Source organism: Homo sapiens, chromosome 5 (genome assembly GCF_000001405.40).
Source record: "Homo sapiens chromosome 5, GRCh38.p14 Primary Assembly".
In the NCBI taxonomy this organism is placed as follows: Eukaryota; Metazoa; Chordata; class Mammalia; order Primates; family Hominidae; genus Homo; species Homo sapiens.
This window is the reverse complement of record NC_000005.10, coordinates 28,478,949-28,493,889: the sequence shown is the minus strand read 5'-3', so window position 1 is coordinate 28,493,889 and position 14,941 is coordinate 28,478,949. Positions and strand designations below refer to the sequence as shown.

The 14,941-nt window shown below is 37.0% G+C and overlaps 2 annotated features.

Moving 5' to 3' along the window:
* Positions 9,852-10,352: an enhancer, noted in NCBI's record as "H3K4me1 hESC enhancer chr5:28483645-28484145 (GRCh37/hg19 assembly coordinates)". NCBI's record gives its function as "activates a minimal SCP1, AML or CMV promoter by ChIP-STARR-seq in naive H9 embryonic stem cells {active_cell/tissue: H9 hESC(naive)}" and the evidence as "EXISTENCE:reporter gene assay evidence [ECO:0000049][PMID:30033119]".
* Positions 10,353-10,853: an enhancer, noted in NCBI's record as "H3K4me1 hESC enhancer chr5:28483144-28483644 (GRCh37/hg19 assembly coordinates)". NCBI's record gives its function as "activates a minimal SCP1, AML or CMV promoter by ChIP-STARR-seq in naive H9 embryonic stem cells {active_cell/tissue: H9 hESC(naive)}" and the evidence as "EXISTENCE:reporter gene assay evidence [ECO:0000049][PMID:30033119]".

Below are 14,941 nucleotides of genomic sequence, written 5' to 3'. Positions count from 1 at the left end.
TATCAAAACTCTTCCATACTTGCTGTGTGGCCACTACACCTTAAATACTGCTTGTCTCTTCTGCTGCTATAGAATTTCACCTGGAACCCCCTCTCCCCAAATATCCCCGTGATCCAGAAACTAAATGATCAGTGCTTGGCACAGTAGAAGCTTTCTAGGATTTCATACCAATGCCATGGCCAGTATCTGTGATTGACAATTTCATGTGCTCTAAGTGGTATCATTGTTCACTTCTAACAGGGGAGGGAAAAGAGATGTCAGAGGTTATGGACATTGCAGAGCTTTGCTTCAAACCTGGTCAGGCCTGAATGTCTTACTCCCAACCAACATCCTATCTGGCCAGAAAAATCTGTTTCAGTCTAACTAAATATAACATTCTTATTAACAACTTTGTGACTTAATTCACAATAAAGATATGGAATATATACTAATCTTAGGCCTTGTTTTAAGCATTATAGCAATGTTATGCAATTTTTAGCTTAGCAGCCAGTAGAAGCTTTCACATAATAATGAAAATCATTGATGTTAAAAGTAATTCTCTACATATCAAAAGTAAAAGACTTGTTTCTATCAATAAATAAGAAGTCATTGGAAGAGCTTGATGTTATTTTCTAGGAAACACTGTGGTCTAGATAGGGGCACTGCTCAGAAAAAGACAACTGCATTAATAATTTAAAAGCAAAACAAAAACAAAATAAATACCTCAGCAAACATTTCTAAGATACATAAAATTTTTAGAACTATTTTTGAAAGATTTAGTAAACTGTATGCACTAAACACAACTTTGATAAGCAGCTATATATATATTTAAATATTGATCTATATTAGAAATTAAATGGTATGTGAGTACATATTATATGGTGTTTTAAAATACTTTGCTAAATATCACTCTGGAGGTATTATAAAAAACAAATCCCCCATCCATGCAAGGAGGGCTCTATTTAGAACAAGAATGGTCTTGATGCTTCTCAAGAAGAAGTCAGTAATGTAATTTTTTCCCAGAATAGGCTGTGCTGTTTTTATACTATATACAAAAGGCACTTCTTATAATATCTCTATGAAAATATTGTTTCTCTATCAAAATAACTTAAATATGCTTTTCCTGCTGAATTTGTTTCATTTGTTCTTCTTTAGTCATGTTATTATTTAATGTTTCTGTCTTCTCCCAAAATTCATATGCTGAAGCTTAATCCCCAATGGGAATGAGGTCTTCAGGAGGTGATTAGATCCTCATGAATGGGATTTGCTCCTTATAAAAGAGGTCCAATGAGGATGCTCTAAGAGTGCGTTATCTGTGAGGGAAGGACTCTTACCAGACATGAAATCTGACAGTACTTTGATCTTGGAACTCCCAGCCTCCAGAACTGTGAGAAATAAATGTCTGTTGTTGATAAGCCACCCAGCCTCTGGTATCTTTGTTATATCAGCCCCAAAAGACTAAGCCAACTCAGTGAATGAATGGATGTGGTAACACAGTTCTTCCACATCTGTCCATCTTTTTCAAGTTGCTTCAAACCATGCTCCTCCTCACTGTGTGTTCCACATCCAAGTGCTCAACACTCTGATTTTCCAACCTTCCTGACTCCCACCCATTCTATATTCCCCTCACTCTGATTCCTTTAGGAATTCTAATGACTTGAACTTTTGGGTGTTATTAATTGATTTCTGATGGTAGTGTACCAATACTTTGAACATTTTTTTAATTAGAAATTTTGGGTTCAGGAATACATGTACAGGATTGTTATATAGGTAAACTGCATGTCACAAGGGTTTGGTGTACAGATTATTTTGTCACCAGGTAATAAACATGGGGACCAATAAGTATTTTTTCCTGATCCTCTCCCTCCTCCTACCTTTTGCCCTGGTATCTCTTTTTCCCCTCTTTGTGTTCATCTATTCTCACTGTTTAGCTCCCAGTTATAGGTGAGAACATGCAGTATTTGGTTTTCTGTTCCTACATTAGTTTGCTTAGGATAATGGTGTACACCTCCCTCCATGTTGCTACAAAGGACATGATCTCTTTCTTTTTTATGGCTGCATAGTATTCCGTGGTGTATATATACCACAGTTTCTTTATCTAGTCTACTGGTGATTCCATGTCTTTGCTATTGTGAATAGTGCTGCAATAAATACACACATGCATGTGTCTTTATGATAGTTTTTAGCAGCTGTAAATAAAATGCCCTCCTTGCTAACTCTCTCAGCTTATATATTTATTTATTTATTTATCTATTTATTTATTTATTTGAGACAAAATCTTGTTCTGTCACCCAGGCTGGAGTGCAGTGGCACAATCTCAGCTCACTGCAACCTCCGCTTCCCAGGTTCAAGTGATTCTCCTGCATCAGCCTCCCAAGAAGCTGGGATTACAGACACATGCCATCACGTCCAACTAATTTCTACATTTTTAGTAGAGATAGGGTTTCACCACGTTGTCCAGGCTGGTCTCGAACGCCTGACCTCAAGTGATCCACCCACCTTGGCCTCCCAAAGTGCTGGGATTACAGGCACGAGCCACCGCACCCGGACCCTCAGTTCATTTATTTATGATTTCCACATTCACATTGCCACAAAGATCAGTTTGATATATATATCTTAAAAACACTAGAAAAAAAAAGCTTTCAGATTAGTAAAACTTGTTTGAAACTGAAACAACAAAGTATAACTATGACATAAGAGTAAGATGTTCTCTCCTCCAGAGAAAAACTAAGAATGGAGTCTGAGAGCCCTCAACTCTCAAATCTTTGACTGGGTCTTTGGTTAATGCTAGGGACTAAATTGTGTGTACCCAAAATTCATATGCTGGAGTCCTAACTCCCAGTAGTTGTGACTATATTCAAAGATAGAGTCTTTAATAAAATAATAATGTTTAACAAGGTAATATGGTTGGGCCCTGATCCTTCATGACTGGTGTTTTTACAAAAGGAAGTTAGGACACAGACATATTCTTATGAAGATGATGTGTATTATTCACATGCTGCTATGATAGAGTAACACAGACCAGGAAGCTTAAACAACTGAAATTTACTTTCTCATAGTTCTGGAGACTAGACGTTCAAGATCAAGATTCCATTAGACTTGGTTTCTGGTGAGGCCCCTCTTTCTGGCTTATAGATAACTGCCTTCTTACTATGTCCTCACATGGCTTCTTCTCTGTATGTGTGGAGAGAGATCTCTGGTACTACTTCTTTGTCTTATAAGAATTCCTATCGCATCAAGTTAGGACCCCATCTTTATGACCTCATATAACCTTAATTAGTTTTCTAAATGTCCTATCACCAAATATAGTCACATTGGAGATTGAAGCTTCATCATATAAATTTTGAAGATACAATTTAGTCCAAACACTATGTGAAGATACAAAGAAGGCATCTACGAGGCATGGAGGGAAGCCTCAGAAGAAATCAACCTTACTGACACCTTAATCTCATATTTCTGCCCTACCCAATTGTGAACAAATGAGTTGCTATTTTTTTTAAAGTTGTGTTAATGTGTTTTTTTTTTTCCTATAGAGTATGATATTTTGTCATCTTCAAAATATTACTTCCTGGTAAGTGACTGTCTCTCTCAGTCTTAACCAGTTGATGGAGATGGCAAAGATCTTGGACATCACCTGCCTTCTTATGCCAGCAAAGCAATCCCAAGTGTATCTCTACAACTACACTCTTTATCTAAATCTCACACACTAAGATAATATTTTCCCTGCCTTAAATTATTCCAAAGCCGGCTCTCAGGCAACTAGAGATCACCTCTATAATCGAAAGACCCCATTTGGAGGCCCCTTTATCAAGGTTACTCATTTGAGTCCCTCCCTAGGCACCAGTGCCAAGCCCTTCTTATGGAGCCCATGTGACTCTCCAATGTGTCTCAGTCCTCAGAAATTTCCAGTTCCAAGCCCTTTCCCTTCTCCCTTTCTATGGCTCCTACGGTCAACAAATTGGAAGTAGCTTTTTGTTCAGAGAACTCTTGAGAGTGAGACAATTGTCTCTGTCTGCACTGATACATATGACTTTTGCTTAGTGCAGAACTGTGGTGAAAATGGGACATTTGGGAATTCAATACTTTTTCCCGTTTAGTCTCTTGCTTTTATACTACGGCAAAAAGCAATTAAAGGCTTGACTATTACTTCGACTTGGGCTTATTGTCTTAATGGATTGACAACTTGTCACAATTTGACAATTGTGGCTGCACAATTTGCCTGAAACCTGACCTTTCATTCTCTCTGGCTCACCTCAGCTCTTGACAATAAAAAGGAAGATACAAGAGATACCTGACTCAAACTTCAGCCAAATTTTCATCCCTGGTGCAAATAAAAAGTCACAATTTGGAAGAATAAATTAGAGGGAAATGTCTAAGCCTTCTACTTGTGAATTTGCTCTCTTTATTCTGAGGCAGTTGCCTTGAAAATCATGAGTACAGTTCAGTTAGTATTTCTGGTTGAAAGTAATAAATGCAGCTCTGGCTAATGATCCAGTTAATTAAACATTTTACTAAATTAAAAAAATAAAAGGAAGCTTACAAAATCTTTAGTAGACTTAATTTAATAGCAAGTGTTCAGAGACAACACTGGTTGCTGATGATCTGATGAGTACACTGGTCTGATCAGGAAATGTACTTGCTGCCACCAAGGACTAGATGCTAAAAGTTTGCACCACTGTCTCTCTTGCTCTACGATTCCTACTTGTAATTATTATAACTACCGCAAACCTTAAGCAGAGAGAGAGAGAAAAACAGCAAGAGAGATGAGCTGTCAGTACCTTCCTGCTTCTGATACCAGATTCTTGGTCAAAGTCAAGAGAAAATGTGTCTAATGTATGGAGTCTAGGAGTTTATGTAACAGGTAGCTACGCATGAGTAGTCCAGGAGATGGCTTTCCCCACTCACCAGGAATGTCAGGTGATGGTTGGGCAAAGATCACATTGCCCCTCTAAAAGTGGTAAGTTGGCAGCTGGTGTCAGGGAGAGGCCATTTCTTGATGGTCCACACCTGTTGCATTAAAGTGTTAATTGAATGCAGATGTCAGGGAGAAGCAACTTCCTGAGTATGTGCATTAAGAGATAAAATGGCAGAGCATGATCTTCCAGGGGCACTCCACGGGAAAAGGGAAGAAAGCCTCAGATGGGCATGCATACAACTTCCTAAACACACTGAATGTGCTCACCTCTCAAGTGTAAAGAGGGCACTACACATGTGGTCAGCCCATCCTAAGGGAAGAATCAATGGAAAGGGGCCAGCCTATAAGTCCTAGGATCCAAGTTAAACATTGCACTTGACCCTCACATGCGCACTTGGGTCTCTTCCAAGCATAATTTCCCTCCTGTCTGAAGCCTTTTTAAATAAATGTACACTCCTTCTCTGAAAATTACCTTGGTCTCTTGTTTTGCCTTATTCCCTTAGTCAAATCATTTCTTCTGAAGAGGCAAGAATTGAGGTTGCTGCAGACTTGTATGACTTTGCCACCGGTAACTTGGATACCTTCCACCAGTAACATTTAAGGCACATAACTGGGTATTCATAGTACTCGGGGGCCTTGCCATTGTGTGATTAAGACCACAGACTGTGATGCTGCACTGCCCATCTACCACACTGAAAAGCTGTCTGGACTTCTGCAAGTTTCTTAACCTCTCTGTACCTCAGACTCCTCATCTGTACAAAAAAAGAAATTATATATGTATATATATACAGTGGTCACCTCACAGGATTTTTTTGAAGAATAAAAAATTTTAAATAAATAAAACACTTAATACATGAAACACGACTGCATTATTTTTACTCATTAATTTTAAATTGCAAGAGAGAAAAGGAGAAATGATTATCAAGCATTATTTGTTCCTATGAGGATAAGTGGGATTTTGATATAAGCAAAACAAAAACAACAAGGAATTCTCCAAGTACAAAATTACATGCAGCCTCTGGGTAACTGAAATAAAATCTTTACCATAAAAGGCTAGGAAATAATACACTTAGTGTGAGAATTAACGTGATAAAAAAAATTTGGCGATTATTTATGCCGTTCTCATGTAATCACTGGAGGGAGAATTGCTTGTGACTTGTGCTCTGTGGATATTAAAGATGAAATACATGAGTGGAAGTCTCTTAAAAGGTCACACTCCAAGTCTGATTTCTGCAATCTGCTGTGTCAACAGTCAAAAATCCATCCCAGATTCATGAGATAAATGGATTGAGACCAGATGATTCTGGCATAGAGGAATAGGTTGTAGGAAAAAGTATGAAACCTGGGGAAAGTTGAGGAGGACAAATCAACACATAAAAGAGTAAGGGAATTTGAAATGACAGAGCAGGCAAAGCCCACCTGCAGCAATGCTTTGGTGCTTCCAGTTTGTTTCTGTCTCATGATTAATGCACCCAATTCTTCACTTCACTTAGGGCTTTGTGAGGGGAATAGAGAAAAATGTGCTGCTCTTTGGTTCTTGGGGTGACATTATTTCACACTAGTATATGCAGCTTTATACCGTTTAAATTTCTGTATTATATTTATTTTATTTAAATTTGAGAACAAAACATAGAGGTAGAGAATGTCTTTCATTCCTTAGTGTATGTCTTAGTCCTGTTGGGCAGCTTTAACAAAATTCCATATATTGAGTGACTTACAAACAACAGAAATTTATCCCTCATAATTCTCCAGGCTGGGAAGTCCAACTTTGGGGCACCAGCAAATCCATTGCCTTGTGGGGGCCCAACTTCTGGATTATAGATGGTTCTTTCTGGCTGCCTCCTCACATGGGGAAAAGAATGAGGAGTTTCTCTTAAGCATTTTTTATAGGAGCACTAATCTCATTTATAAGTGCTCCATGCTCATGATCTAAATGCCCCTAAAGGCCCCACTTCCTAATATCATCCCCTTAACAGTAAGGATTTTAACATATGAAGTCAGTCGGCAGGGTGGGCATCAACATTTTAAATATAGCAGTGTGTGTAGTAAAAGTTGAGAAAAACATTAACCAAAATAAAGGGAAATAAAATATTATTTTGGAAAATATGAAGTAAAATGCATTAGTATTGTTATTTTATTCAACAAATATCATGCTAATTATGTATACATGATTGGGTCTATTTATACTCTTAATAATAACACGAACAATTGTCCTTAAACTTGACCCAGAAGTCGCTCACAATAAGCAATAATTTCTTAAGCATATGCTTACCCAATAAATCTGAACAAGATAATATAAACACTTACATATTAATATTGGCATATTTCCTCTCTATTGTCTCAGGGAACTCTAAAATCAGACGAAAAGAGAGACATTTAACAAAATTTGAGCATGAAAAATGCATGGTGAAACTTTAAGGGCACAAACATTTGTATATTGTATTCAAAATGTCACTTAATGCAAATTATAATGACAATATCAACAGAAAATAGCAGTGAAATGCCTTCAAAAGAGCCAAGGGCCTTCAGACTGCAGTTAACTCTATTATGTCTTTGAAAAGTATTGTAATATTCTTGAAAAGTCACTGCAAAAAAATACCACTGAAGAATTCATTCAGAATAAATCTAAAATCAAATGACGTGATATGAAGCCATCAAACATACATAAATGTATGTCACCCTAAGAATTATAGATACAAAAGAAAATGTATTTATATATTTCTTAAAGGAGAAATATCTAAAAATGAGTAAAAATAAAGATCTAAACTCAAAAGTAAAATAAAAAAGACCTTATTAGTGGATATAAGAGGACATTGAAAATGAGAAATATTGTAAGGTATATTGAGTTCCACAAAAATTGCATAGTTTGCTTTTTGTCCTTTATTGGCAATTTTGTACAACTGAATTGCAATACTCATTTAAACTCATTACTAAGCTCCTTAGTAAATTGTGAAAATAGAGAAGAAGATCTGACAACAGAAACACAATATTTGTCTTTTTAAAAAAATTTATTTCCTTTTTATGAATGTAAGCTTCTTTCTATATAATTGAACTTATAAATAATGCTTTATCTGGATTTTTCTCCAAATAGTCTGTTAAACATTTCCATGTTTTAGCTGGATTAAAAACACAGAATTTTACATTACATACAAAATGTTATTGAGTTATATGATAATATACTTAATCACAATCATATTGCTAAGTATCTGAGTTAATCTTTGTTTATAGGTATGATTACATTTGACCCAGTCTTAAAAGTCATTTAATATTTATATAAATGTAAATTATATGATAAATACATTAGTTTGTAATTCTTTTTATTTTAAGATAAAGCAGTTTAGGACTACTGCAATGAAAGATGTACCTTTCTTTTTTGCTTTTTTTTTTTTTTATTGTACTTTAAGTTCTGGGGTACATGTGCAGAACATGCAGTTTTATTACATAGGTATACACATGCCATGGTGGTTTGCTGCACCCATCAACCTGTCACCTACATTAGGTATTTCTCCTATTGTTATCCCTTCCCTAGTCCCCCATCCCCCAACAGGCCCCAGTGTGTGATGTTCCCCTCCCTACATCCATGTATTCTCATTGTTCAACTCCTATTTATGAGTGAGAACATGCAGTGTTTGGTTTTCTGTTCTTGTAATAGTTTGCTGAGAATGATGGTTTCTAGCTTCATCCATGTCCCTGTAAAGGACATGAACTCATCTTTTTTTATGGCTGCATAGTATTCCATGATGTGTATGTGCCACATTTTCTTTATCCAGTCTATTATTGATGGACATTTGGGTTGGTTCCAAGTCTTTGCTATTGTCAATATTGCTGCAATAAGCATAAGTGTGCATGTGTCTTTATAGTAGCATGATTTATAATCCTTTGGGTATATACCCAGTAATGGGATTGCTGGTATTTCTAGTTCTAGATCCTTGAGGAATCACCACACTGTCTTCCATATTGTTGAAGTAATTTACACTCCCACCAACAGTGTAAAAGTGTTCCTATTTCTCCACATCCTTTCCAGCATCTGTTGTTTCCTGACTTTTTAATGACCGCCATTCTAAATGGCATGAGATAGTATCTCATTATGGTTTTGATTTGCATTTTTCTAATGACCAGAGATGATGAGCATTTTTTCATATGTTTGTTGGCTGCATAAGTGTCTTCTTTTGAGAAGTGTTTGTTCAATTCCTTTGTCCACTTTTTGATGGGGTGTTTTGTTTTTTCTTGTAAATTTGTTTAAGTTCTTTGTAGATTCTGGATATTAGCCCTTTGTCAGATGGATAGATTGCAAAAATTTCTCTCATTCTGCAGGTTGCCTGTTCACTCTGATGATAGTTTCTTTTGCTGTGTAGAAGTTCTTTAGTTTAATTAGGTCCCATTTGTCAATTTTGGCTTTTGTTGCCATTGCTTTTGGTGTTTTAGACATGAAGTCTTTGTCCATGCCTACGTCCTGAACGGTATTGCCTAGGTTTTCTTCTAGGCTTTTTATGGTTCTGTGTCTTACATTTAAGTCTTGATCCATCTTGAGTTGATTTTCTTATAAGGTATAAGGAAGGGGTCCAGTTTCAGTTTTCTGCATATGGCTTTTTAACTCTAGTTGAAAAATGGAATTAATTCCCACGTTAACTAAAACGTATGGCAAGATCCCAGTGACAGTAAATAAAACTGGCAAGATCCCAGTGACAGTAAATAAAACTGGCAAGATCCCAGTGACAGTAAATACTGCACTTTCTGAGAAGTGTGGATTGAAGAATTCATTCTAGGGAGTTCTAGGACCTGACTTTTTACTCTTCTGCTGATAGGGACAGGAGGCAGGAAAATTCTGGGCAGAAGAGAGTGGGTTCCCAGCAAGGGCCCCACCCTCAAGCCTGGAACTGAGGCCCAAAGTGAGGACATTACATTCCTATTTTCCTGCTTGAATGTTGCCTTTTCCAAAACCACCTATGGCCCGCCCCGGCCCCTATCGTGTGCTCATAAAAACCCCAGGCTTAGACAGTAGAAAGGAGAAGCAGCTGAACGTCGATAGGCGAAGCAGCTGGGCATTGGAGACTGCGGTTGGACGTCGGAGAGAAGTGGCTTGACTTCAGAGGGACGGCTTGATGGCATGACTTCAGGGGAAGAACACCTTTCCGCTCCATCACCTTTCCAGCTCTCCTTCCTGCTGAGAGCTATTTTCATTGGCAATAACATTCTCCACATTCATCACCCTTCAATTCATTCGTGTGACCTGATTCTTCCTGGACACTGAATAAGAGCTTGGGTACTATGACTGCGGATGCAAAAGACTGTCACGCTAAGCTGTTAACACTGAAGCCATCCACGGACAGCAGAGTTTAAAGAGTACCATAACACACACCCTCTGGGGCTTCAGGGGTCGCAGGCACCCCCGCTAGATGCTGCCGTGGGGTTGGTAAGGAGTTCGTTCCTGCTGGCACACAAAAGCACTTGGCCCAGCTTCTGCACCCACTCACCAGCATGCTCCCTCCCACGAGTGGCTGCGCATAGCAGGTTTGAGGGAACAAAGTTTGCCCCTGCCAGCGCTGAAGAGGCCAGCTAGCTCCAGCACCTGCACTCCAGTTCCTACCCGCAAAGGGATTAGGGAAAATTTTCTGTTTCACTACTACCTCCAAATCTCAACGGACTCATCCTGCTATAAGGGAAAGGATGGAAAAGAGAGAAGATCCTGCTTTAGTCTGAACCAAAAACACAGATCCTGATGAGTTTAGTTCAACAGATAGGAATGAGAAGGAAAATAGAGAAGATACACCCAAAATTATTAACTTAAGTTGCAAAACCCCAATCACTAGTGAAATATAGCCTAATAAAACTTTTCAAGTGCTGACCAATCAGATTGACAACAATTCCTTCGTCACAGATAAGTAGCCAAGTGATGTACTCAAAAGGGATGAAATAGTTGTCTTAGGTATTTGTCTTTAATGAACAAATCTGGTGCATAAGAAAAGTGGAAAAGACCTCTTTACCACAGTGATTCATGATATATTTAACAAAATAAGATTATATATGTTTCTACCATCTTAGATCACATATTTTTCAATGTCTCCTAAGCGTAACAGGTAATTTATTATTATTTTGTGTTTAAAAATTATTGGTGAATATCAATCATTTTTGTTGATATTGTAATAGTTATTTACATTTAGTGAATTAGCATTTCAGTATTTGGCCTATGTAACTATTTGAGCTTAATGAGATTTTTGTTTTTTTCCCTATTTGTAAGTACTCTTTGAAAAGTAAATCCTTTTTAAATAATATTTTCTATTAACAAGTTGGCCTCGAAAATTTTTGCTAACATTTGCTGCTTTATGTGAAGGTTTCACTAATTTATGTTACAAAGGAATGCTTCCTTCAGAAAGTAAAATTAAAGGTCATCAGATTCTCAGAGAAAAAGTGTCTTACTTTGATTTCCTTTCTGGAATAATAAATCTTCAAATTGGGGTGTTTTTAACCCTTGAGATGTATGAAGACCTTACAAGGAATATACGAAGACCAATAAATTTTAAGAAATCAATTAATGTTTTGCAATTGATTTGGTTCAGAATGTAATGATCACCAAAGTATTATTTAGATTCTGTATGCTAATCTTTTTTTTCACAATCAACTTTTTCTCATTTTACAAAAAATAAAGCATTATCTTCACTCATCCTAAAATAAAAGAAACAGTTTTCCAGTGGGAAACTTTTGTGGTGACCAAAAGCAGAGACAATTCAAAAGACATCTTCATACAAAGAAGTTTACTTTAATAAGGCAGTATCCTATCTCACTGAAAAACAAACAAAAAAACCTTTTTGATCAAATTTTACATTACAGTTTTAATGTGTTTTGGAAAATTAAGATAAGTCTTTTTTTTGGTTCATTTTTTTTATTTTTTTTTTTTTGTTTTTTGTTTTGAGACGGAGTCTCGCTCTATCTCCCAAGCTAGAGTGCAATGGCATGATCTTGGCTAACTGCGACCTCCACGTCCTGGGTTAAAGCAGTTCTCCTGCCTCAGCCCTCAGCCTCCCAAGTAGCTGGGATTATAGGCACATGCCACCATGCCCAGCTAATTTTTGTACTTTTAGTAGAGATGGGGTTTCACCATGTTGGCCAGGCTGGTCTCGAACTCCTGACCTTAGGTCATCCACCCACCTTGGCCTCGCAAAGTGCTGGGATTATAGGCATGAGCCACTGCATTCAACCAAGATATGTTTTGATTAATTCTTTACTACTATATAAACAAAAATATTAACTCCAAAATGAATATATATTAATATTAAGCAAAATAAATTGCTTTTAAGTAATAAATTTATGTTCACAATTTTTTGAGGCTAGAGTAAATAGAAAAACATTTCTTAAAAAACATATTGGCTGGATGTGGTGGCTCATGCCTGTAATCCCAGCACTTTGGGAGGCCAAGGTGGGTGGATCACCTCAGGTCAGGAGTTTGAAATCAGCCTGGCCAACATGGTGAAACCTCGTCTCTACTAAAAATACAAATATTAGCCAGGTATAGTGACACGCACCTGTAATCCCAGCTACTCGGGAAGCTGAGGCAGGAGAATTGCTTGAACTCGGGAGGCTGAGGTTGCGGTGAGCGGAGATCGCACCACTGCATGCACTCCAGCCTGGGCGACAGAGCAAGACTCCATGTCAAAAAAACAAAAACAAAAACAAAAACAAAACATATTGCATTAGGGTGAAATATTTTAGGAAAGACAATTCAAATACAAGTAAATGAGAAAAGAAAATGCAAACTGCAAAAATGTAATCCTGTTAAAAATAATACATTCATGTAACTTTAAGACATGTTACACAGGATACATTTATGATAGCAATGAGACATTTTTAAATAAACTTTTAAAAAATTTGCCAGAAACTACATCTATTGCAAGTATTTGTACTTCAATTGAAAATATCTAGAAGCCATTCTAAATAATGTGTGGAGCACACATTTATATTTCTAAAATCATTTTAGAGAAATGGGAGTCTTAAAAGGTGATTAGACTACTATCCTTGAGTAAGGAATTTCTAGTATAATTAATAATATCATTTTGTTAATATTCATGACCAACCTGTGAAACTAGGATTTGGGTGTTTTTTACTTTTAATTTGCCAATGTAAATATTTCAGTGGTAGTGCAGAGCAAGTATACCTTATATTTGAGTCCTCCATGTTAAAGATAAAGTGATAATAAGGCTGTAATAAGTTTATCTAATGTATTCAGATAAAACATTATTATAATGATGTATATATACAAACATGCAAAGGACCAGAAAAAAGTACTACATTGTCAAGTTAAAAGGGATAACTTGTATTTCAATATCTCAAGATGGCTGTTCTTTTATATGGAAATAAAGTAATTTAGTTCTATATAAATTATGTGTTTACATGGAAAATCACAGGTCAATTTAATAAAAACATATAGATAGTTTGATTTAGGATTTTGAATATTGTATACACTTAGTTGATAAAGCTGCAGCAATGTTTGACAGAATTCACTCTAATTTTGAAAGATGTCCCACTTTGGATAAAAGGCTGTCAAACAGCATTGCACACCACAGAGAAATCTTCCATGAAAATAAGTGTCAATGGATGCTGCAGATTTTATTATTTTATTATTTTAAGAATGTTCCCTGCAACTTCAACCTTCAGCAACCACCACCCTTGTCAGTCAGCAGCCATCAACAACTGGGCAAGAAGATTACAACTCACAGAGGGCTCAGATGATCATTAGAATTTTTAGCAATAAAATCTTAATTAAGGTATGTACATTATTATTTTTAGACATAATGTTATTGCACACTCAATAAACTACAGCATAGTGTAAACATAACTTTTATATGTTCTAGAAAACCAGAAAATTTGTGTGACTTGCTTTATTGAGATATTCACTTTATTGTAGGGGCCAGGAACCCAACCTACAATATTTCAGAGGTATGCCTGTTTCCTTGTTTTATCCTCAGGCAAAAAGGTAGCTCAGGATATTTGAAGAAAATGCTTGACAACTTGAAAATTTCGAAGAGATAATAAATCATTCAAAGATAATTATGAAATTGTTACCAAAATAAAATTATATTACTATGTAATGATTATTGTTCAAATAATTTTAATAAAAAAGGAAAGTAGGAAGGCTAGAAAGGAAGAGAGAGCAAGAAAAGGAATGAAAGAGGGAAGAAGAAAAATAATGGAAAGAAGTAAGGAAAAAAGAAAAGAAAGAGGAAAGGAAGGAAGGAAAAAAGAGAGAAGGGGACCGGGCGTGGTGGCTCACACCTGTAATCCCAGCACTTTGGGAGGCCTAGGCAGGCAGATCATGAGGTCAGGAGATAGAAACCATCCTGCCTAACACGGTGAAACCCCATCTCTACTAAAACTACAAAAAATTAGCTGGGCGTGGTGGCACGCACCTGTGGTCCCAGCTACTTGGGGGACTGAGGCAGAACAATCGCTTGAACCTGGGAGGCGGAGGTTGCAGTGAGCCGAGATCCTGCCACTGCACTCTAGCCTTGGTGACAGAGCAAGACTCCATCTCAAAAAACAACAACAAAAAAAAAAAAAGCAGAGAAGGAAAAGGGAATTTAGTCTTTGTTATTAACTGAATTGTCTTGCTCCAACATCAAATGTTGAACCCTTAACCTCCGAATGTAATGATTCAGAGATGGGGGCTTTGGGAGGTAACTAGGTTTAGATGAGATTAGTATTCTTTGTAATAAAAGACAGCAGAGAGCTTGTGTGTTTTCTCTCTCTCTCTCTCTCTCTCTCTCTCTCTCTCTCCTTCTCTCTCTCTCTCTCCCCCCTTCTCTCTCTCTCTCTTTCTGCCTTGATCCATGTGAAAAAAAAGAGTGATAAAGTGGTCGTCTGTAAGCCAGAAAGAGGGCCTTCACCAGAACTGCCCCATGCTGGCACTCTGATCTCAGACTTAGAAGCCTCCAGAACTGTGAGAAGAAAATTTCTATTGTTTTAGTCACTTAGTCTGTGGCATTTTGCTAGGCATCCTAAACTGACTAAGATCCTTCTTAAATAGTGGTTTCAGTATCTAAAATATTAATTGAC